Consider the following 22,740-nt stretch of genomic DNA (forward strand, 5'->3'; position numbering starts at 1 on the left):
AGGTGGGAAGATTGTTTGACCCCGGGAGGTCTAGGCTTCCGTGAGCCGTGATCATGCCACTGCATTCCAGCCTGTGTGACAGAGTGAGAACTTGCCTCAAAAAAACACAAAAAAGAAAAAAACTCAAAGCCTGGGAGGAATCAGGATGCCATGGGATGAATCAGCAAAGCAGCAGGTGACAGAGCACAGTGGCTTTGGGACCCAGCCCAGAATCCTGGACTGAATATTTTAAGGGAAAAGAAACTGATGGAAGATGAGGACTGGCAGCAGAATCACTGTCGCTTTTGTTTTAGAAAGACAGATGACCACCAGTGTGGAAAATAGGCAGACTGGTGATGAGTCTGGAGACAGGACAGCTCATTTATTTATAGTAGATGTTATAAATTGTTGTCACAGCCGATTTAATCCTTTCCTAAACATTAAGCTTGAAAGCTGCGACAAAGAGAAATCAGTCCAGGATTGTGACTGTCTTTAAGGCATAGCTGAGAAGATGGACTATCAAGAACAAAGGAATTTAATATAAGAATAATGTAATTTAAAATGTTCTGGTGCTGTAAAGAAAAAATAATAATAGACCCCCCCCCGCCTTTTTTTTTTTTTGAGAAGGAGTCTCACTCTGTCACTGAGGCTGGAGTGCGGTGGCATGATCTTGGCTCACTGCAACCTCCACCTCCCGGGTTCCAGCAATTCTCCTGCCTCAGCCTCCCGAGTAGCTGATATTACACGCATCTGCCACCACAGCCAGCTAATTTTTGTATTTTTAGTAGAGACAGGGGTTTCACCATGTTGACCAGGCTACTCTTGAACTCCTAACCTCAAGTGATCCGCCCGCCTTGACCTCCCAAAGTGCTGGGATTACAGGGGTGAGCCATGGCGCCCAGCCAATAGCCCCTTATGAATTTAGGCAAGAGCCAGGACCCAAGTGACAATGACTGGACCCAGAAAGATAAACAAGCCACTTACCAGAGGAACTGGGGCATTTGGCCTAAACTCTGTGGAATCAGCATCTGAAGATTAAGAAAAGAGTTCAGTAATTCACCAATAGTGCTGAAAAATATTTGAAGAGAGAAAATTTTTTAAATAAATGGTCATTAGCAAACCTCGAACTTACCTTTCAAGTTAAGGCAGTTTCTTGCAAACTCTATCACTGCTAGTTGCATCCCAAGACAAACTCCTATTTTAAAAAGCACATATGCAAAGCAAATGAACTCACTTTGTATTTGTTCACATTTTCTGTTCATTTGTTGGCTGCCTGTCTCCCCTATCTAGAATGCAGACTCCCAGAGAGCAAGACTCTGCCTGTTTTGCTCCCTGCTGTCCTCTCAGAAGAATCCCTGACAGAGAGCAGGGCAGGGGCTTAGACTATCATGAAGCCGCCTAAGTCCCAAAGTTGACAAAGAAGGAACATGAGGTCAGAAAAGTGCAGGGTCAACTGGGCGCAATGGCTCAAGCCTGCAATCTCAGCACTTTGGAAAGCCAAAGTGAGCAGATTACTTGAGGTCAGGAGTTCGAGACCAGCCTGGCCAACATGGTGAAACCAGCCTCTACTAAAAATACAAAAATTAGCCAGGTGTGGTGGCATGCACCTATAGTCCCAGCTACTTGGGAGGCTGAGGCAGGAGAATTACTTGAGCCCGGGAGGCAGAGGTTGCAGTGAGCTGAGATCACACCACTGTGCTCCAGGCTGGGTGAGAAAGAAGGAAGGAAAGAAAGAGAAGAAAGAGAGAAAGAGAGGAAGGAGGAGCTGGGTGCGGTGGCTCACACTTGTAATCCCAGCGCTTTGGGAGGCTGAGTTGGGCGGATCACGAGGTCAGGAGATCGAGACCATCCTGGCTAACATGGTGAAACCCCATCTCTACTAAAAAAAAAAAAATACAAAAAAAAATTAGCCAGGCATGGTGGTGGGTGCCTGTAGTCCCAGCTACTCGGGAGGCTGAGGCAGGGGAGTGGCGTGAACCTGGGAGGCAGAGCTTACAGTGAGCAGAGATCGCGCCACTGCACTCCAGCCTGGGCGACAGAGCGAGACTCTGTCTCAAAAAAAAAGAAAATAAAAAGAGAGAGAGGAAGGAGGGAAGGAAGGAAGAAGGGAAGAAGGAAGGATGGAAGGAAGGAAGGAAGGAAGAAGGAAGAAAGAAGGAAGGAAGGAGAAGGAAAAGGAAGGGGAGGGAAGGGAGGGAAGGGAGAAAGAGAGAAAGAAAGAAAGAAGGAAGGAAGGAAGGAAAGGAAGGAAGGAAGGAAGGAAGGAAGGAAGGAAGGAAGGAAGGAAAGAAGGAAAGAAAGAGGCAGAGTCCATGAGACAAATCTGCCACCTTCTAGATTTGTCCCTGAGTTGAGGCATCTTAGTGGGCTGCAGTGCCTGATTCCTTCAGAGAACATCTAACACCCCAACTCAGAGGGAGTTTCCTGGGCTAAGATTTCCCACTCCTTCTCATGGTGACTTCACAGCCATAAACACAGGCTTGGCCAGAGGTTGAGTGCCTACAGGACGTCAGGCTGCTAACCCACAGGCAGCCCCATAGCCTTCACTGTAAGGAAAAGCAGCAGTGGGGGGTGGGGGTTGGAGACTCCACAGTGGGCTTGAGCATGGTGGGCAGCAGGGAAGGAGACACGATGGGCCTGAACAGAGTGCTCGGTGATGAAGGAAGGCAGACCTGTGTCGCCCAAGCCTGTTGCCACAGGGATGCTCCCAGACCCAGCTCCGCCTTCACTGCAGTTCACCAATTCTCTCCACTAAACAAATGCCAAAGAGCATCCCAGATGCTCCTCCGATAGATACTTAAGATGTACACAGGGGAAACAAAGAAGGGAGCAATCAATATATCAGGGATGCCAGAACAGAAGTCAATAAGCAGGAAACAGCTGAGTGCTGGGGGGTGGGGGTGGCGGTGAGGGGGATTTCAGAAAGTTCCATATGGCTGGGACATAAAGAGATGCTATGCTAGAGGGAAAGCTAAAGACCTGCAAACCATTCCATACTATTAAAATAATCTGAGGAACATTACCCACATTTAGACAGAAACTTCAAAAAAAAAAACAATGGCCCCCAACGAGCTTAGACCAGTAAAAGAAAACAAGGTATCCAGGTAACTACTCCAGTCTTCTATTTTGAAAATGGATCCTAAGAGGAGAGAGTCTAAGAAGCTAATCAAAGAGCAGGTAATGGGGGGAAATAAATGGTCTGCTGGCACTAAAAGCCTGTCCAATGGGCTCATAAACCCACCCAGCCATCCACTGCACAGTGGGAAACACAGCCTCTCTGCACTCCCCCTCCTGCCTGAGTCCCCAGCTACAGGGCTGCCTCTCCCGCATCAAGGTCCCATTTCCTCTGGTTTCCCTGGTACAGAAGCCGTACTTCGCAATTTGAAAAAAAAGCATTAAAAAGGCTCAACTCGGCCGGGCACGGGGGCTCAAGCCTGTAATCCCCACACTTTGGGAGTCTGAAGTGGGCAGATTGCTTGAGCCCAGGAGTTTGAGGCCAGGCTGGGCAACATAGCAAGACTCCATCTCTTAAAAAAAAAAAAACACACACACACACAAAAATTAGCCAGGCACAGTGGTGTGTACCTGTAGTCCCAGCTACTCTGGAGACTGAGGTGGGAATTGGAGAAGGTAAGCACAGTTGCAGATGGAGCCTTCTCCCAGCCTCTGCTACCCAGCTGGAATAGCAGCAAGTTCTCCTAGGATGAGAAACGTTTTCTGTAAAGGGTCACATAGTAAAGATTCTAGCCTCTTTCAGATAGTAAAGCTTCTAGGCCGTAGGGTCTGAAACTCTGACGTTGGACCACAAAAGCAGCCATAGACAATATGTAAACAAATTGGTGTGGCTGTGTTCCAATAAAGCTTTATTCATAAAAACAGGCTGTGGGCCAAATTTAGAATATAGTTTGTTGACCCTATAGCAGACTATTTGGCACCTGAACTTTCAAATCCGAGTTCACACCTTTACGATAACAAACCTTTAGTGTTACCCCTCCTAGGTGTCAAAAATCTAATAAACTCATAGTTAGGGTCAATAAACATGAGTTTTACCCAGAAAAGGAATCTTCTTTGTCCTTGCCCAAGAAATCGCCTGGAGTTTTCCCAATGTTCCTCTGATTCCAAAGCCTCCAGGCACAAGAATACCACTGAAATCAATACAAAATGAGGGTAAACTTGACTATCCATTTTTTTTTTAAACTAGTGTATTCAGCCATTCGTGCAATGCTTGGTCCAATCACTAGTGACTATGCTCAAGCTCTATTTTCAGAACCAATTATATGACTTCACACCCTGAACTTTTTTTCTGAAATCTTCCCAATGTTATGAAGAAATTGTGACAATTTCTCACAACTGACCTCAATATATATTTTACGATAAGTCTTTGTGGCATCAGAGCATACTAACTGAGAAACCCAATTCAATTAAGAATGCCACTGGGAAAAGAAACTGAATGAAAATAGGTTAAGGTTCTTTCAAAACACTATTATAAAAATGTTAAGATCTCTGACATCATCAGAAAGAGTTAAATTGGAAAAATCAGCCTAAGATTTCAAATGCTAATTAAGTAGTGGCAAATGAAAATTTCTTGGCTAGAAGACTTCACAGACCTAGGCAAACACAACAGCAACACAGTTCAACAGAAAACCCAGGAGGATCATGCTAACCTCATGATGCAATGCTGCCCCCAAGAGTTCTGTCAATTACTTACAAAATAAAACCTAAAATCTAAGACATGTGGAAAATATCATCAAGAGAGAAAGGGCTGCTCTGTCAATGGAGCAGCTATTCTTTATGTCCTTACTTTCCTAATAAACTTGCTTTCACTTTACTCTATGGACTCACCCTGAATTCTTTCTTGAGCAAGATCCAAGAACCCTCTCTTGGGGTCTGGATTGGGACCCGTTTCTGGTAACATCTTTCTAGCGACCACAGAAGGGACAATACTGAGTACGTGGTGGGGTCCAGTAACATTTTTCTTTTTTTTTTTTTTTTTTTTTTTTTTGAGACAGAGTCTTGCTCTTGTCACCCTGCCTGGAGTGCAGTGGCGCGATCTCGGCCCTCTCCAACCTCCACCTCCCGGGTTCCAGCAATTCTCCTGCCTCAGCCTCCCGAGTAGCTGGGATTACAAGCACACGCCACCACGCCCAGCTAATGTTTTGTATTTTAGTAGAGATGGGGTTTCACCATGTTACCCAGGCTGGCCTCGAACTCCTGAGCTCAGGCAATAAGACCGCCTCAGCCTCCCAAAGTGCTGGGATTACAGGCGTGAGCCACCATGCCCAGCCTCCAGTAACATCTTTCTAGTGAAACACGGAAAGAACAATACTGAAGAGACCCCAGACCCAAAGGAAAATCGTCTGTGTGCACCAATTGGCTGACTTTGGGTAAATGGGGTGCATATACCCAGGTAAAGGATGGGATTGGGTTAGAGGCCCAACTTAGAGTCTCTCCTAAAACAGAGAGAGTTAAAGGCTCCTCTCAATAAAAGGCAAGGATGCTTGAATGACCTTGGGTTGGAGGCACAACTTAGGAAGGTTAGAGTCCTTCCTAAGGTTTAGGGGGTTAGAGGCCTCTCTCAGTAAAGTCCCTCTCTGCTAAGAATAGGTTTGGCACTATGGGATGTTAATTGCTATTCTCTTTGGATTATTCTGCCTTGCACTCTTTGCTGATAGCTATGGGTGACAGAACTAGGCATGCACAGGACCATGGGACATGGGGAGCTTTTTCCTCCTCAAAAGGGGAAACTTGAGAGTTGATGAGACTCCTGGAAAAGATCCCTTCACGACCGACAAGCGGCCACCTGAACTTTTCAGTGTCACTGCAATGGGTGCGTCTTTCTCTGGCCTCCCTGAGCTCTTTGCCTTCCCCAAAATGCTGCGGGCAATGCTTTTCTCCCTTTATCTCCTTTCCTTTTCGTATCTTTTCTGTTACTCAAGGCGACCATCTTGCCCAGAGACAAGTTGAAACTCCTGGTCAGAGGTTGGATTAATGATGATGGGGCCCAACCAGGGGCAAGTTTGAGCCTTGCCAGTAAGATATTGGGTGCTAGGCAGAGTGGCTAATGTCTATGTTTTGTCACACATATTTTGCTCTGGCCAGAACAGGAAAAGATAATTTTCCTTTGTGTTACAGCTTGGCCCCCAGGGCTGTGGTGCAGCCAGCCGGGTCACTAGGGCTGCTCAAGGAAAGGGAACCCAGAAGCCTAGCATACCGACAAAAGGGTAAGAATTTCTTACCAGTCAGACTTCTGGCCTCTCTCTCTCTCTGTGCAAATTGGTTGAATGAATGGTAAAAATCACTGTCTCCTGTGTAAAGTTTTGATTAATGGTAAAAAGGATTTGTGAGGCTACTCTTTTTTTTTTTTTTTTTTTTTTTGAGACGGAGTCTCGCTCTGTCGCCCAGGCTGGAGTGCAGTGGCGGGATCTCGGCTCACTGCAAGCTCCGCCTCCCGGGTTCATGCCATTCTCCTGCCTCAGCCTCCCAAGTAGCTGGGACTACAGGCGCCCGCCACTACGCCCGGCTAATTTTTTGTATTTTTAGTAGAGACGGGGTTTCACCGTTTTAGCCGGGATGGTCTCGATCTCCTGACCTCGTGATCCGCCCGCCTCGGCCTCCCAAAGTGCTGGGATTACAGGCGTGAGCCACCGCGCCCGGCCGAGGCTACTCTTAAGCTACAGTGAATCTGGTGTGCTTTGTGTGTCTTTCTGTATTGTTCTGTCATAATGAGGGGTCTTAGGATAGAATGTGGGCCTAGGACCCCTGTAAGCCTGCTGTTCAAGCCACCCCAGCAAACTGGTCAATAACAAACTTTGCTGTAGGTCCCTGAAGAAAAACTAGATAAGGGTTCCCTCTCATCTTGTTTCATGTCCTTGGGAGCTTGACCTTGCAACCATGTGGCAGTACTTTCTCTTGGTCTCCATCATCACAATGGTGACCTGGGTTCAGGGTTCAATTCCTAGTTTAGGGGATAAGCCTTTCTGATTGATATTTGGGTGCTTACAACTACTGGATCTTCTTTCTGTCTGTGCATTTATATGTGTTGTGTGTGTGATGTTAAAAAAAAAAAGCTTTAATTGGTTTAAAAATAGTAAAGCTTAAATCAAGTATTGTGTAAGAAAAGTAAAAATTGTAATGACTTTTAGTTCACATAACTTTAGTAATCTTTGGGTAATAAAAACAGCTTTAAAGATTATTGGGAAAATAAAGACATTTGGTCTAAATTAGGCAGGTCAGATATTAGGTTTTCTCAATGCTTTAAGGTCATAAACTGCTTTGACTCTTGAAAATTGTTCAATTTACCTACTTTGGAGCATTAGATTCTAGGTAAGGCTTGGGGACAAGTTGAAAGCCATGCCCCCTAGCTATGCTGGAAAAGGTCAGACCTTATCTAGTGTCCTAGGCTCCATACCTAGTACGTAATTAAAATTGCTTACTAACCAGGTTTTTCACCAAAAGTAAAAGTTCCTAAGAGTTAACAGTGTAATCTGTAATTGAGACTACTGAAGAAACAGTTTTACATGCAAGTTGCATAAGGAAAGTGAAATGTGTTTTTAGTAAAAGATTATAAGAAGGCATGAAAATGTGGATTTTTTTTTTTTTTGCCTAGATTAAAAGGTTAAAGGATTGTTTTTTGCTGTTTTGTTTTTGTCTTCAGACGAAGTTTCACTCTTGTTGCCCAGGCTGGAGTGCAATGGTGCAATCTTGGCTCACTGCAACCTTCACCTCGTGGGTTCAAACGATTCTCCTGCCTCAGCCTCCCAGGTAGCTGGGATTACAGGTATGCACCACCACACCTAGCTAATTTTGTATTTTTAGTAGAGACGGGGTTTCACCATGTTAGTCAGGCTGGTCTAGAACTCCTGACTTCAGGTGATCCACCCACCTCAGCCTCCCAAAGTGCTGGGATTACAGGCGTAAGCCACCGCATCCAGCTAACGGATTATTTTAAGTTAGATAAGATAAAGCTGAAAGTTTGAGCAAGTTGTAGAAGGTTTGTGAAGGATTAATCTTATAAAAGAAATTACGCAGGCCGGGCATGGTGGCTCACACCTGTAATCCCAGCACTTTGGGAGGCCAAGGTGGGCAGATCACGAGGTCAGGAGATCGAGACCATCCTGGCTAACACGGTGAAACCCCGTCTCTACTAAAAATACAAAAAATTAGCCGGGCGTGGTGGCAGGCGCCTGTAGTCCCAGCTACTCGGGAGGCTGAGGCAGGAGAATGACATGAACCCAGGAGGCAGAGCTTGCAGTGAGCAGAGATTGCGCCACTGCACTCCAGCCTGGGCAACAAGGCGAGACTCCGTCTCAAAAAAAAAAAAAAAGAAATTATGCGTGTGGACATTGGCTAAAGTTAAAGGTGTATTCAGGTTTTCCATAAATTGAACATTGAAATAAAAGCACAACAGGTTTCTCTTAGAGTGCTGATCTGCTCTTTAACAAAAACTTCTAAAGGAGCCAGGCATGGTGGCTCATGCCTGTAATCCCAGCACTTTGGGAGGCTGAGGTGGGCGAATCACTTGAGGTCAGGAGTTCGAGACCAGCCTGGCCAACATGGTGAAACCCCATCTCTACAAAAATGCAAAAAAAATTAGTCAGGCATGATGGCGGGTGCCTGTAATCCCAGCTACTCGGGAGGATGGAGCAGGAGAATTGCTTGGACCCATGAGGCGGAGGTTGCAGTGAGCCAAGATTACACCACTGCACTCCAGCCTCGGTGACAGAGCAAGAGACTGTGTCTCAAAAAAAAAAAAAAAACTTGTAAAGGATTATAGAAGGTTTGTAAAAATCTTACCTTATGGTCAAACTAAAATTGGATAGATTTATCTATAAGGTTTTATTAAAAATTGGGTTTGACATGAATTTAATGCACTAATGCAATGGTGAAGTTTGGTATATTTGGTATAAAAATTATACGAAAAGCACTGTCAAATATGAAATGGTGTTTGGCTTTCTTTGGGCTGTATTTGTATAAATATGTTATTGTATGTGTTCCAAAATTATAAGAAACTTCTATAATTCTAATATGAATTCGTGTATGTTATTAATAATTATCATTGTTATGCAAAATTGTTGTAAGCCACAGATGTAACAAATTCCTAGTCAATTGTGGCTTTAATAGTGGCTGCCCTAAAACATTTTGTCACCCACAGACAATTGTATTGTTTTGGTCCTCTTTAGAAGGTAGTTAAAAATCAACTATAGAACTCTAACAGCTGTTCTTAAATGCAAGTTTCTGATAACTTTGGAGATTGTGACAGCAGAATAGAGGAAAATCTTTCAGGACTCTCATGGAGAGCTGAAATGTTCATGACTATCAAGTAGAACAGGAGTTAGCTCCATGGAATGAACTAATAAAAAATTAATATTTTTTACTTTGCTTAAAATGTTGCTGATCCTTTTTGTTTTATTTTTCGGAGTCAAGAAAACTGTTCTTTTGAGCTATATACAGCTTGTAACAATTGAGTAAAGTATACTCCTGTGAACAAAATTTGGAGCATATTTGTTTCTCTCTACCTGATTTGTCCAGAATTGGGAAATTTGGAATTTGTGAGTATTCTTAACTTATGGCAATATAGTTGTTTGCATAAGTGCAATAAGAATCTTTTTTATTTTGCAACAGGACACAATTGGAGGGAGAAACTGGTTATATTACCAAGGCTTTGACTGGAATGGTGTGCTTTCCTGTAAAGAATCGAACTTGAATTGTAAAGCCAATACAAGCCCCGTGGGAAAACTAGCCTCATACCTTGTCTACACAGTCCCTGTACAGGGTTTCTGACCTGTGGTAACTAAAGAATGTCACTTTCTGACAGGTCCAGGAGCCTCAAGTTATCTTGGGACCTCAAAAAGAGAGGAATTTACCCAATTCATAGGTATTTGAGGGTACAAACCCATGGGTGGGCTCAGCTTTAAAAAAGGTCTTATCTGAGATTCCTTATGGAATAAGGTTCTGTCAAAGCCAATTTTAAAAGCCTATTGAAAAATAATTATTCTTGCTGCACTTTATACAAATAATCAGGCCAAGTATAATAAAGCAAATTGTTCTTACCATGATTTGTCTTTAGTGAAAATGGGAAACTGGAGAGAGAAAAAATTATGTTTCAAGAACTATGGTCTAACTGTTATTATTATGAATTCTAGTCTTATTGGTTGTTTTTGAAGTTTTTTTCTGCAATTTAGACTGACCCTGCTTATTCCTGTGAAACAATCAGTGATCTGTGACTGCAGCTCAGAAAAAAACAAGAGCAGGGCTGGGCGTGGTGGCTCACACCTGTAATCCCAGCACTTTGGGAGGCCAAGGCGGGTGGATAACGAGGTCAAGAGTTCAAGACCAGCCTGGCCAACATGGTGAAACCCGTCTTTACTAAGAATACAAAAATCAGCCAGGCATGGTAGCGCGTGCCTGTAATCCTAGCTACTTGGGAGGCTGAGGCAGAAGAATTGCTTGAACCTGGGAGGCGGAGGTTGCAGTGAGCCGAGATCGCACCACTGCACTCCAGCCTGGGAGACAGAGCAAGACTCTGTCTCGGAAAAAAAAAAAAAAAAAACAAGAGGGATGGGTAACGTAAAAATTGGGATCAGTATTCTAATTCTGGGCATGTATTGAAATCAGCTAGCAACTGCATATCAGCTTGGTTCCAACAGTTGCCCAGTTCATGGAAAGCCTTCTAATTTAGTTTACTTGGGATAATTTTTTGCTTTACTGTTGTGGAATATATTGCTATTGTACTCTTTGTGTAGGAATGCAGAATAAGCTTACTCAATGTTTTCTTAAACTAAACATTTATTAATCTTCCAGATATCACCTTTTGTTGGAACTCAGAGTTATGAATGGCCCTCGCCATCTGACGCTTTCTGACTGACCTCTTCTCTACCCCAAATACAAGAGACTCTAATAGGGAGGAATGTCATTGCCCCTATTCAACACGAAGAAGTTACAGAAGATGGAGCTTTGTCCCTCTGCAACCCTTAGTATTAAGAGTTCTCCTATAAAAGGGAGAGGGGAAATATTGAACCACAGCAACTCCATCTTGAATAGGGGCTGGGTAGAATAAGGCTGAGACCTACTGGACTGCATTCCCAGATAGTTAGGCATTCTAAGTCACAGGATGAGATAGGAGGTCAGCAAAAGATACAGGTCATAAAGACTTTGCTGATAAAACAGGTTGCAGTAAAGAAGCCAGCTAAAAGCCACCAAAACCAAGATGGCAATGAGAGTGACCTCTGGTCATCCTCACTGCTACACTCCCACCAGTGCCATGACAGTTTACAAATGCCATGGCAACATCAGGAAGTTACCCTATAAGGTCTAAAAGGGGGAGGCACGTATAATTCATCCCTTCTTTAGCATGTAACCAAGAAATAACCATAAAAGGGGCAACCAGCAGCCCTCAGGGCTGCTCTGCTTGTGGAGTAGCCATTCTTTAATTCCTTTACTTTCCTAATAAACTTGCTTTCACTTTGTAAAAAGAGAGAGAAAAAAAAAGCTGTCATTCTTGTACTTTAACTTTGCATATGTAAGATTCATCTCTGCATCTTCCAGGAGAATCAACACACTTTCCCTCTGCATCCTTCAGGAGAATCAACACACTTTCCCACAGTATCCCCATCCTCCCCAAATAAAACCATTTCTATGCACATGCCACCAGCATTAACATGGCACATTTCAAATCAACGCAGTATGATCGTGGAACAATCACCTGCAAAGACCACAAGTACTCCAAACTACCTTTCAAAATGCATGAAAATTAGCAATTAGGGTAAACTGAATCATTACAGAAAAAGTACAATGGTCCTATCCTAACTGGTGTGCGTGGGCCCTGGTACTCACTCAGCTTTGCATAGCTTCTGCCAAGCTTCATGAAATTTCACAGGGTCCTCGGTTTCAGTGATCTTCTCCAGATCAATGGAGTCTATGTACTAAAAAACATCCAACAGATAAAAGGAGTATTTAAGAAAAATAAACACTCAAAAATACTGCAGCCATCTAATACTATGACACATTATTCAATAATTACTTATTATGCAAACACTGTACTGGGCACTAGGGATAGAAAAACAGTCTCTGTTTTGCGGCTCTTATAATCTTTCAGAAAGATTACAAAACCAGATAAACGGGCATCCACACTATACTGTGATAATGGCTATGACAGACAAAGAAGAGAACGATGCAGAAGTAACTTGGGGTCAACCGCGTGGGGTGGCACGTGCCTGTAGCCCCAGCTACTTGGGAAGCTGAGGTGGGAGGATCCTTTGAGCCTGGGAGGTCCGGGCTGCAATGATCCCTGATTGTAACACTGCATTCCAGCCTGAGTGACAGAGTGAGACACTGTCTCAAAAAAAAATTTAAAAAAAAAGCAACTAGGACGTCACTAGAACTGAACACTGGAGGAAAGACAGGAAGGATTGACGTCAAGGAAGAGCTCTGGGGAGGTAATGTTCAAGAAGCCAGCCGAGAGGAGAGCAGAAGCAAGATAAGCACGTGTGTGATGGGAGGCAGCAGGAGACAAAGAGAGGAGGGGAGAAGGGTATGAAATCTCCAGCAGGCCGGGCGCATTGGCTCATGCCTGTAATCCCAGCACTTTGGGAGGCCGAGGTGGGCAGATCATCTAAGGTTAGGAATTCAAGACCAGCCTGGCCAACGTGGCAAAACCCCGTCTCTACTAAAAATATAAAAATTAGCCAGGCATGGTGGCAGGTGCCTGTAATCTCAGCTACTCGGGAGGCTGAGGCAGAAGAATCACATGAACCCAGGAGGCAGAGGTTGCAGTGAGCTTAGATTGTGCCACTGCACTCAAGTCTGGTCAACAGAGTGAGAGTCCGTCTCAAAAAATAAAAAAATAAAAATAAATAAAAAAAAAAGAAATCTCCAGCAAAGGAACCACTTATATGAAACCTCAGAGGAAAAAGAGAGAAAGTGGTAGCCACTCTGGGACCCTCAAAAAAGGCCCCACCCAGCGAGAGGACAGACCTGATTGGTTGGAGGAAGGCAAGGGACGAGGCTGAGAAGCCATGACACAGACTTGACACTTGAAGCCAATTGCAATGGTTTGAATGTCTGTGTTCCCCCAAAATTCCTATGTTGAAATCCCAACTCCCAAAGGAATGGTATTAGGAGGTAGGTGGGGTCTTTGAGGGATGATTAGGTCAAGAAGGCAGAGCACATAGGAATAGGATTAGTGCCCCTATAAAAAAGGCCCCATAGACCTCCCTCACCCCTTCCGCACATGGGGATATAACCAGAGGTTGGTCCTCTGCACCCAAAAGAGGGCCCTCACCAGAACCCGGCCACATGCTGGCACCCTAATCTTGGACTTCCAGCCTCCAGAACTGTGAGAGAGAAATGGCAGTTGTTTGTAAGCCACCTGGTCTATGGTACTTTGTTACAGCAGCCTGAACAGACTGAGACACCACTGAAAGATCTTAAGTAAAGGGACGACAGGAACAGAGAGAACCGAGAAAGATTTTACAATGATCACTCTGGTAGAGTGTGGCAAAGGCAGGGAAGACTGGCAGCTGGAAACCAGCCCGGAAGCCGCTGCAGCTGCAGCAAACCAGGAGAGATAGACAGATGCAGCCCAATCTTAGAAGGAAGATGACAAGGCCAGGATTCAAACAGTACTTAGGAGAAGCTAATGTCAATGAATCCTATCAGATGAAGCATCATGTGCACCAATTCTTATGTATATAACAGTCCCTCTCTATCTATATTAGTTTAGTATTTCTTCTGTAAAAATGACTCTCCTGGCCAAGCACAGTGGCTCACGTCTATAATCCCAGCACTTTGGGAGGCCGAGGCAGGTGGATCACTTAAGGCCAGGAGTTTAAGACCAGCCTGGCCAACATGACAAAACCCTGTCTCTACTAAAAATAACAAAATTAGGTGTGGTGGCGGGCACCTGTAATCCCAGCTACTCAGGAGGCTAAGGCACAAGAATTGCTTGAACCCCGGAGGTGGAGGTTGCAGTGAGCCAAGATCGCACCACTGCACTCCACCCTAGGAGAAAGGGCGAGACCCTGTCTCAAAAAAAAAAAAAAGAAAAAGAAAAGAAAAGAAAAAAAAAAGACTATTCAAATAAACTTTAAGATACAAATTTCTAAAGGCTTTATAAAATGTATATGTCATGGCAATTTTTCCATTGCCATTTTCTTTTTTTTACATAATGGGGCGGGCGACTTGAAGGAGTGGGAGGAATGGGAAGTAAACTATTCCTTAGAAAGCCAAAAGTAAAAAGTGATTAGGGGCTGGTCATGGTGGCTCACGCCTGTAATCCTAGCACTTTAGGAGGCCAAGGCAGGAGGAATTGTTTGAGCAGTTCGAGACCAGCCTGGGCAACATAGCGAGACCCCGTCTCTATAAAAATTAAAAAATAGGCCAGGCACGATGGCTCACGCTTGTAATCCCAACACTTTGGGAGGCCAAGGCAGGTGGATCACCTGAGGTCAGGAGTTCGAGACCAGCCTGGCCAACATGAAGAAACTCCATCTCTACTAAAAATACAAAAATTAGCTGGGCGTGGTGGCACATGCCTGTAATCCCAGCTATTCGGGTGGCTAAGGCAGGAGAATCACTTGAACCCAGAAGGCAGAGGTTGCAGTGAGCTGAGATGGCACCACTGTACTCCAGCCTGGGCAACAAGAGCAAAACTCCATCTAAAAAGTAATTAACTAATTAATTAATTAAAAAATAATAAAATAAAATTTTTAAAAAGTGATTAGGAAAGAAGGAGGCTAAAAAGAGGAGAGAGAAACAGCAGCTAGTTCTCCTAAGCTAGTGTCAAAGTGGAAGCCATTAAATTTCTTTAACATATAAATGGATCTTTTTACTCATTATACAAAGTTTTTGCCATTTAAGTCAAGATGATAAGACTTGCTTAAACAATGATATACTCATACTGAATATCATTAAATATAAATGTGAGATAGATATATAAATATACGTATCCAACTGGTAACAAGTGGGATTTCAGGGAGGAGGAATCTGCTTTCTGCATTTTAGATTTATGCTTTATTTTGTTTTGTTTTGTTTTTTGGAGACAGGGTCTCAATCTGTCACCCAGGCTGGAGTGCAGTGGCGCAATTATAGCTCACCGCAGTATCAAACTCCTGGGCTCAAGTGATCTTCCTGCCTCAGCCTCCCAATTAGCTGAGACTACAGGCGCATGCCACCACACCCGGCTAACTTTTTAAGTTTTTTTTATAGAGATGAGGTCTCCCATTGTTGCCCAGGCTGGTCTTCAACTCCTGAGCTCAAGCAACCCACCTGGCTCAGCCTCCCAAAGGGCTGGGATTACAGGCGTGAACTACTTCGCCTGGCTTATGCTTTGTTTAAATGTTTTACTCTAAACATGTACTACTTCCGTTCTTATATGGAAGAATATACTCAAGCTATATAAGATAACTACGCCTCTGTTATTCCACAATACTGAGTTTCCAAAACAAATAATCACTGTTTGCTAGCTATCATTCCTCCATGTTAGAGAGGGGAATATAGTATTTTAAAAAATCTAGATTCCATTCCAATGCTAAAGGGAAAAAATGTCCTATTATTTTCCTGTTAGGCAATTACGACGTACTTAAACGAGCATGACAAGCATGCTCATTCATCTGAATGTGCAAAGCCTACTTTCAGAAATGTGCCTTAAACCTACATGTAGAAAACAGCTTACACAGGCCAGGCACAGTGGCTCATGCCAGTAATCCCAGCACTTTGAGAGGCCAAGACGGGCAGATCACCTGAGATCAGGAGTTCGAGACCAGCCTGGCCAACGTGGTGAAACCCCGTCTCTATTAAAAATACAAAAATTAGCTGGGCATGGTGGCGGGAGTCTGTAATCCCAGATACTCAGGAGGCTGAGGCACAAGAATTGCTGGAACGGTGAAGACAGAGGTTGCGGTGGGCCGAGATCATGCCACTGCACACCAACCTGGGCGGCAGAGGGAGACTGTGTCTCAAAAAAGGAAAAAAGAAAACCGTTTACACAGCAAGCCTGGCTGCTGCCCTTGGAAAGGCCTGCTACAAGATTGAGACTTGACTGGCTTCTGGAAACTCTGATTTTGGGAGGGTTCCCATCATTCCAAGAACTGATAGGAGAAGCTCACTGTGCTGAAAGTGTCTGTACAGACAACATGGTTTCTGCTGCATGCTTTCCTTCTGGGAGGCTGGCATTTTGGGAAGTGCTAAGAAGAGGGTGCCTACGTGACCAGCCCCCAGTAAAAACCTTGGGCTTCAAGTCTTCAATGAGCTTCCTTAGTAAATGGCAGTTTGCATGTATTATCACAACTCACTGGACTCTACCAGGGGAGAGCACTTAGAAGCTTGCGCCTGGTTACTCCTAGACTTCACCCTGCACGACTTTTCCTTGGCTGATTTTGCTTTGCATTGTCTGGCTATAATAAATCTTAGCTATGAGTATAACTATATGATGAGTCCTGTGAGTTCTTCTGGTGAATCGTAAGTCCTGCAGGTGATCTCAGGGACCCTTTAACAAAACTTGCCCCTCTGGAACATGTGCTATTGGCATGAATTACTGAGATAGCCAAAAGACCAGGCCAGGACTCACCATCAGATTCAACTTGTGGTTGATGGCCAGGGCTGAGTGTTCCAGGGCTTTGAACACAGAGGCGTAGCAGTCTCTGAGCTTGGTGTATTTGCCAACCAGGGCTATGGAGCATATTTTCTGTAACCTTTCATACCTGGGAAAGAAAACAAACTCAAAGGTTATATGCACATAACAGAACATCACAAACAGAACAATGGCAGCTGCTGCTCTTACTCCAAGGCACTTTTTAAATCCTCGGGAGCAGCTGTAGTCCTAGCTACTCAGGAGGCTGAGGCGAGAGAATCACTGAAGCCCAGGAGTTTGAGACCAGACTGGGCAACATAGTTAGACCCCGTCTCTACAAAAAAATACAAAAATTAGCCAGGCGTGGTGGGGCATGCCTACAATCCCAGCTACTCAGGAGGCTGAGGTTGGAGGATCACTTGAGCCCAGGAGACCAAGGCTGCAGTGAGCTATGATCACACCACTGCACTCCAGCCTGGGCGACACAGTGAGACACTGTCTCATAAAACAAAAACAGAAATCCCAACGTTGTTTTACACAAGCAGATACAGATAAAAATTCAAGTATATCAGAGAAAAAGTTAAAAGCATTAAAAGTAAAAATTGAAAAGCTATCCCAATCTCATAAACATGAGCTATTCTTACATTGGTTAATAAGGTGACATTGTATAAAAAAAATGCATTCTGCGTGTCAGTAGGAAACATTCCAATATTAACTTTGTAAGGTGACATTGTGTAAGAAAATGCATTCAAAGTGTCTACATTTAAAATGGTTACATTCCCAGCTGACCCACAAAAGTCTGGTTATTCATGGCATGCCTGAAGAATGGTGCTGAGAGAACGATTTAAAATATTACTAGCCATTTAGATCATTTTTATGAGAAAAATTCCATTCTACAGAAGACACTCGATCACATTTTACCATTAGAGACACAATTTTTAGTGTTGCTTTTGTCAGGAAATCTGTTCAAAGAACATGAAAAATATCTGGTTTGGTATTAGGTACGTGGAAATGTCATCTTGGGGCTGAAGGTGTTTTAGGGCTTTGAAGCAAACCCTTCCCCAAACACCTTAGAAAAATGTTACCATGATGACGAATATCTCTCTTGAATATCAACATCTGCAAAGAGTGGCCGGGCACGGTGGCCCACACCTGTAATCCCAGCACTCTGAGAGGCCAAGGCAGGTGGATCACCTGAGGTCAGGAGTTCGAGACCATCCTGGCCAACATGGTGAAACCTCGTCTCTACTAAAAATACAAAAATTAGCTGGGCGTGGTGGTACGCACCTGTAATCCCAGCTACTCAGGAGGCTGAGGCAGGAGAATCACTTGAACCCGGGAGGCAGAGGTTGCAGTGAGCCGAGATCGCACCACTGCACTCCAGCCTAGGCCACAGAGCGAGACTCTGTCTCCAAAAAAAAAAAAAAAAAAACAAAAACAAAAAGAACACATATCTGTAAAGAGTACAAGAGAAACTAGATCACAAACAGGCTATGTGTGGGAATAATGCACAAGAAGCTAAGAAGTCAAAACTGACAGGGAAGGTAACTTTCTAGAAAGATGACTAAAATAGCTGATAAAAGGTCACTAAAAGGTGACTAAAATAGTTCAAGCTGCTAACCCTTGAACTCACTACTTTATTTTATGTTGCTCTGGAGGTTTCACAGCTGTCTGTATCTCACACCACCTCTCCATAAAGTATGCAGGTAACGGGCCGGGCGTGGTGACTCATGCCTGTAATCCCAACACTTTGGGAGGCCAAGGCCGGCAGATCACTTGAGATCAGGAGTTCCAGACCAGCCTGGCCAACACGGTGAAACCCTGTCTCTACTAAAAATACAAAAATTAGGCTGGCATGGTGGTGCACGCCTGTAGTTCCAGCTACTCAGGAGACTGAGGAAGGAGAATCACTTGAATCCAGGAGGCAGGGGTTGCAGTGAACCGAGATCATGCCACTGCACTCCAGCCTGGGCGACAGAGCCAGACTTCTTCTCCAAAAAAAAAAGAGGATGCGGGTAACAGAAAGCAGGATGACAGCACACCAAGTAGTAGAGATGATGTCAGAGGCAGGCAGGCAGAGCCGCATTTGAGAACAGCAGATTTGGCTTCACCCCCTTCTCCCTCCTCCATAGACAGAAGAGACAACATCAGCTCTGCCCCCGGAAGGAAGCAGCACTGGGGTCAGTATCACAGGTTACTCCTACGGCTCACTCACAGCTGGTCTTCCCAGGGGAGGAGTCACTGGGCAGCAGGTGGTACAGGTGAGTCCACTGGGTCACACCTACCAGGGAGCTCTCATTCCCCCTTGGACCTGTACTTCCGAGAGCAACCAAGGTCTCCCTCATGTGCCCCACTCAGCCATCAGCCATCACCGAATGTGAGGCAAGCATGTGATACTACTTCAAGCTGCTGTGGGAGGGGGAGGGGAGTCCTCTTTGCAGGGCCACCCCCAAGAGTCGGGTCTCAAGAGAGATGAAGAGGGCTGGGTGTGGTGGCTCATGCCTGTAATCCCAGCAGTTTGGGAGGCCGAGGTGGGCGGATTACGATGTCAGGAGATCAAGATCGTCCTGGCTAACATGGTGAAACCCCATCTCTACTAAAAAAATACAAAAAAAAAAAAATTAGCCGGGCGTGGTGGTGGGCGCCTGTAGTCCCAGCTACTCGGGAGGCTGAGGCAGGAGAATGGCATGAACCCAGGAGGCAGAGCTTGCAGTGAGCTGAGATCGCACCACTGCACTCCAGCCTGGGCGACACAGCGAGACTCTGTCTCCAAAAAAAAAAAAAAAAAAAAAAAAGACAATGAATAGGAGGAGGTGGAGAATTGTGCCCACCTTGACTTCGGGTCCCAGGCAAGCTGTCCCTGTTTAATCAGGGACCCCTGGCCTCTGAGCAGCACTGGGCCTCCATGATAGAGGCTGTTCCTTTGGCCTCCGTTTGGCTCCTTGCACCTCTCTACAGGCTATACTGAGAGGACCAAAGCTAAAGAATGGACACTTCGCATCAATTAACAATGTCACCACCAATGTGATGCAGAGGGAGGCCCAGTGCTGCAGAGGCACCCATGCACAATATCTCCTTGCTTGAAAATTGTCAACAATTTATTGTGCATTCTTAAATAAATAAAAGAGTATACTTGGATTGTTTGTATTGCAAAGAAAGGATAAAGGCTTGAGGTGATGGATACTCCATTTACCCTGATGTGATTATAATGCATTATATGCCTGTACCAAATATCTCATGTACCCTACAAATATATACACCTACTATGTACCCATAAAAATTAAAAATAAAAAGGCTGTAGTGAGTTGAATGGTGGCCCCCCCCCAAAGAAATTTGTCCCCAAAACCTGTGAATGTGACCTTGTTTGGAAAAAGGGTCTTTGCAGACATAAGTAAGGCTCTCCAGCTGAGATCATCCTGGATTAGGGCCTGCCTTACATCCAATGACAAGCATCCTTACAAAAGAAGAGAAGGGAAGAAGACACAAGTGAGAAGGTGATGTGAAGATGGAGGCCTGGAGGCCAAAGGCTGGGCATGGTGGCTCACGCCTTTAATCCCAACACGTTAGGAGGCTAAACCAGGTGGATTGCTTGAGCTCAGGAGTTTGAGACCAGGCTGGGCAACATGGTGAAACCCTGTCTCTATAAAAAACACAAAAATTAGCCAAGCATGGTGGCATGCACCTGTAGTCCCAGCTACCTGGGAGGCTGAGGCAGGAGGATCACTTGAGCCCAGAAGTTCAAGGTTGCATTAAGCCCTGGTTGCACCACTGCACTCCAGCCTGGGTGACAGAGTGAGACTCCATCTCAAAAAAAAAAAAATAAATAAGGAAATAAAAGATGGAGGACAAGATTGGAGTGATGTGGCCACAAGCCAAGGAACACCACTGATTGCTGGCAGCCACCAGAAGCCAGGAGAAGGGGTGTGGCAGAGAATCTCCTGCAGAGCCTCTAGAAGGAACCAACCCTGTGGATGCATTGATTTTGCACTTCTGACCTCCAGGACTGTGAGAGAATAAATTCCTGTTGTGTTTTTTTAAGCTGCCCAGTTAGTGGTCATTGTTATGGCAGCCCCCAGGAAGCTAATACAAAGACCAAACATGTGGCTTTAAAAAGCACAGAAGCGCCAGGCATATGGCTCATTCCTGTAATCCCAACACTTTGGGAGGCCGAGGCAGGAAGATCACTTGAGCAAGATGGCAAAACCCCGTCTCTACTAAAAATACAAAAATTAGTTGGCCGTGGTGTAGCGCACCTGTGGTCCCAGCTACTGGGGACGCTGAGGCAGGAGGATCGCTTGAGCCCAGGAGGTCGAGGCTGCAGTGAGCTGAGATTGCACCACTGCACTCCAGCCTGGGCAACAGAGCAACACCCTGTGTCAAAAAAAAAAAAAAAAAAAAGAAAGAAAAGAAAAAGAAAAAAAGCATAAACGCATAGAGTATAATTTAGAGCTATTTCCAATAAAAAGAGTTAAAATATTAAAACTTCTAGTGCTTAAAGTGTATCAGCCCCAAGCTACTTAGAAAATTCCTGTGAAATGACTGGCACTTTAAGCACTCTAGAGAGCAAGGGTTTTAGAGAATCTAAGCTCAGAAACTGCTCTTCCTTCCTGATTCCACTTGCCCCAGAAAATCTAAAGCATTTTTTAAAATTGTAAATGAAAGAGCAAGAGAGCCTCAATCTGATTAGTCATCTACCAAGGGTCAGTAATTTTGTCACCATCATTTTAATTATGGTTACCAACATCAGCAACCGATACTTATTATAGTACGTGACTCAATGTTAAGTCTTTAAGGTTTCCTCTCATAATTGCCACTAGGTAGGCACTGGTATCCCCTTATTATATACAGAAGGGAAAAAAAGCCTAGATAGGTTAAGTAATCACCCAAACTCACACAGCTGGTAAGAGAAGAGGCCAGGATTTGAGTCCAGAACCTACATACGTAACAGCTGCACCTACTGGCGCTCACCTAAGCTGCCCAAGAAGTCCCATCTCAACTACATTTAGTAAAAGAAAACAGGGCCGGGCGCGGTGGCTCACACCTGTAACCCCAGCACTTTGGGAGGCCTAGACAGGCGAATCGCCTGAGGTCAGAAGTTCGAGACCAGCCTGGCAAACATGGTGAAACCCCCGTCTCTACTAAAAACACAAAAAATTAGCTGGGCATGGTGGCGGGCGCCTGTAATCCCAGCTACTCAGGAGGCTGAGGCAGGAGAATGGCGTGAACCCAGGAGGCAGAGGTTGTAGTGAGCCAAGATCGCACCACTGCACTCCAGCCTGGGCGACACAGTGACACTCCATCTCAAAAAAAAAGAAAACAAGTGACAGGGACTTAATTTCCCTTTTTTTTTTTTTTTAAGATACAGGGTCTCGCTATGTTGCTCAGGCTGGCCTCCAACTCCTGGGCTCAAGTGATCCTCTCACCTCAGCCTTCCAAGTAGCTGAGACTACAGGTAAGTGCCACTGCACACAGCTTAATTTTCATATAACTTCAAAATAGAGAAACTTTGCTTAAATTAATATACTTGTCTGAAAGTTAGAATCCATCAGGAGTTTTAATAATTATGCTGAACAGTTAATGAATGCAGGATGAAACAAAACTAGCATAGCCAAAAGTTCCCATCCAAAATGATTTTCTTTAGGAAAAGTTAGCCAAATCTTAAAAACAAGCAAAACAAAACAAAACAAAAAACCTGTGAAGTTTAAAACTGTTTAAGGCCAGGCATGGTGGCTCATGCCTATAATCCCAGCACTTTGGGAGGCCAAGGTGGGCAGATCACTTGAGCCCAGGAGTTCAAGACCAGTGTGGGTAACATAGAAAAATCCCGTCTCTACAAAAAAAAAAAAATATATATTAGCCGGGTGTGGTGGTGTGTGCCTCTAGTCTCAGCTACTCAGGAGGCTGAAGTGGGAGGATGACTTGAGCCCAGGAGGTGGAGGTTGCAGTGAGCCGAGATCGTGCCACTGCACTCCCGCCTGGGTGACAGAGCAAGACTCTCAAAAAAGAAAAAAGAAAACAAACAAAAAAAAATTTTAAATATTCAGAAACTAAAAAATGAACTAGCAAATAAATCAAATAAATCAGAATCCTTCCAGAGCTAAAAAAACATTCCTTCCAGAATTCGAATTCCTTTAATTCACTTTGGTTTATGTATAACAAAATCAAAGGCTCCAGAAATCTTCAAATAATACAGC

General features: G+C 44.5%; 1 protein-coding gene across 10 annotated transcripts in view; it reads right to left on the reverse strand.

Annotated features, from left to right (window-relative positions):
• The window catches only part of CTPS2 (CTP synthase 2), a 124,912-nt gene that overhangs the window by 78,552 nt on the left and 23,620 nt on the right, over positions 1 to 22,740 (reverse strand). For all 10 annotated transcript variants that reach the window (NM_019857.5, XM_006724503.4, XM_047442260.1 and 7 more), the window contains 5 exons: positions 16,544 to 16,676; positions 11,812 to 11,900; positions 4,030 to 4,124; positions 1,112 to 1,174; positions 964 to 1,007 (listed from right to left, as the gene is read on the reverse strand). In NM_019857.5, coding sequence (NP_062831.3) covers positions 964 to 1,007; positions 1,112 to 1,174; positions 4,030 to 4,124; positions 11,812 to 11,900; positions 16,544 to 16,676 — 424 coding nt within the window. The remainder of the gene's footprint in view (positions 1 to 963; positions 1,008 to 1,111; positions 1,175 to 4,029; positions 4,125 to 11,811; positions 11,901 to 16,543; positions 16,677 to 22,740) is intronic.

Source organism: Homo sapiens, chromosome X (genome assembly GCF_000001405.40).
Source record: "Homo sapiens chromosome X, GRCh38.p14 Primary Assembly".
In the NCBI taxonomy this organism is placed as follows: domain Eukaryota; kingdom Metazoa; phylum Chordata; class Mammalia; order Primates; family Hominidae; genus Homo; species Homo sapiens.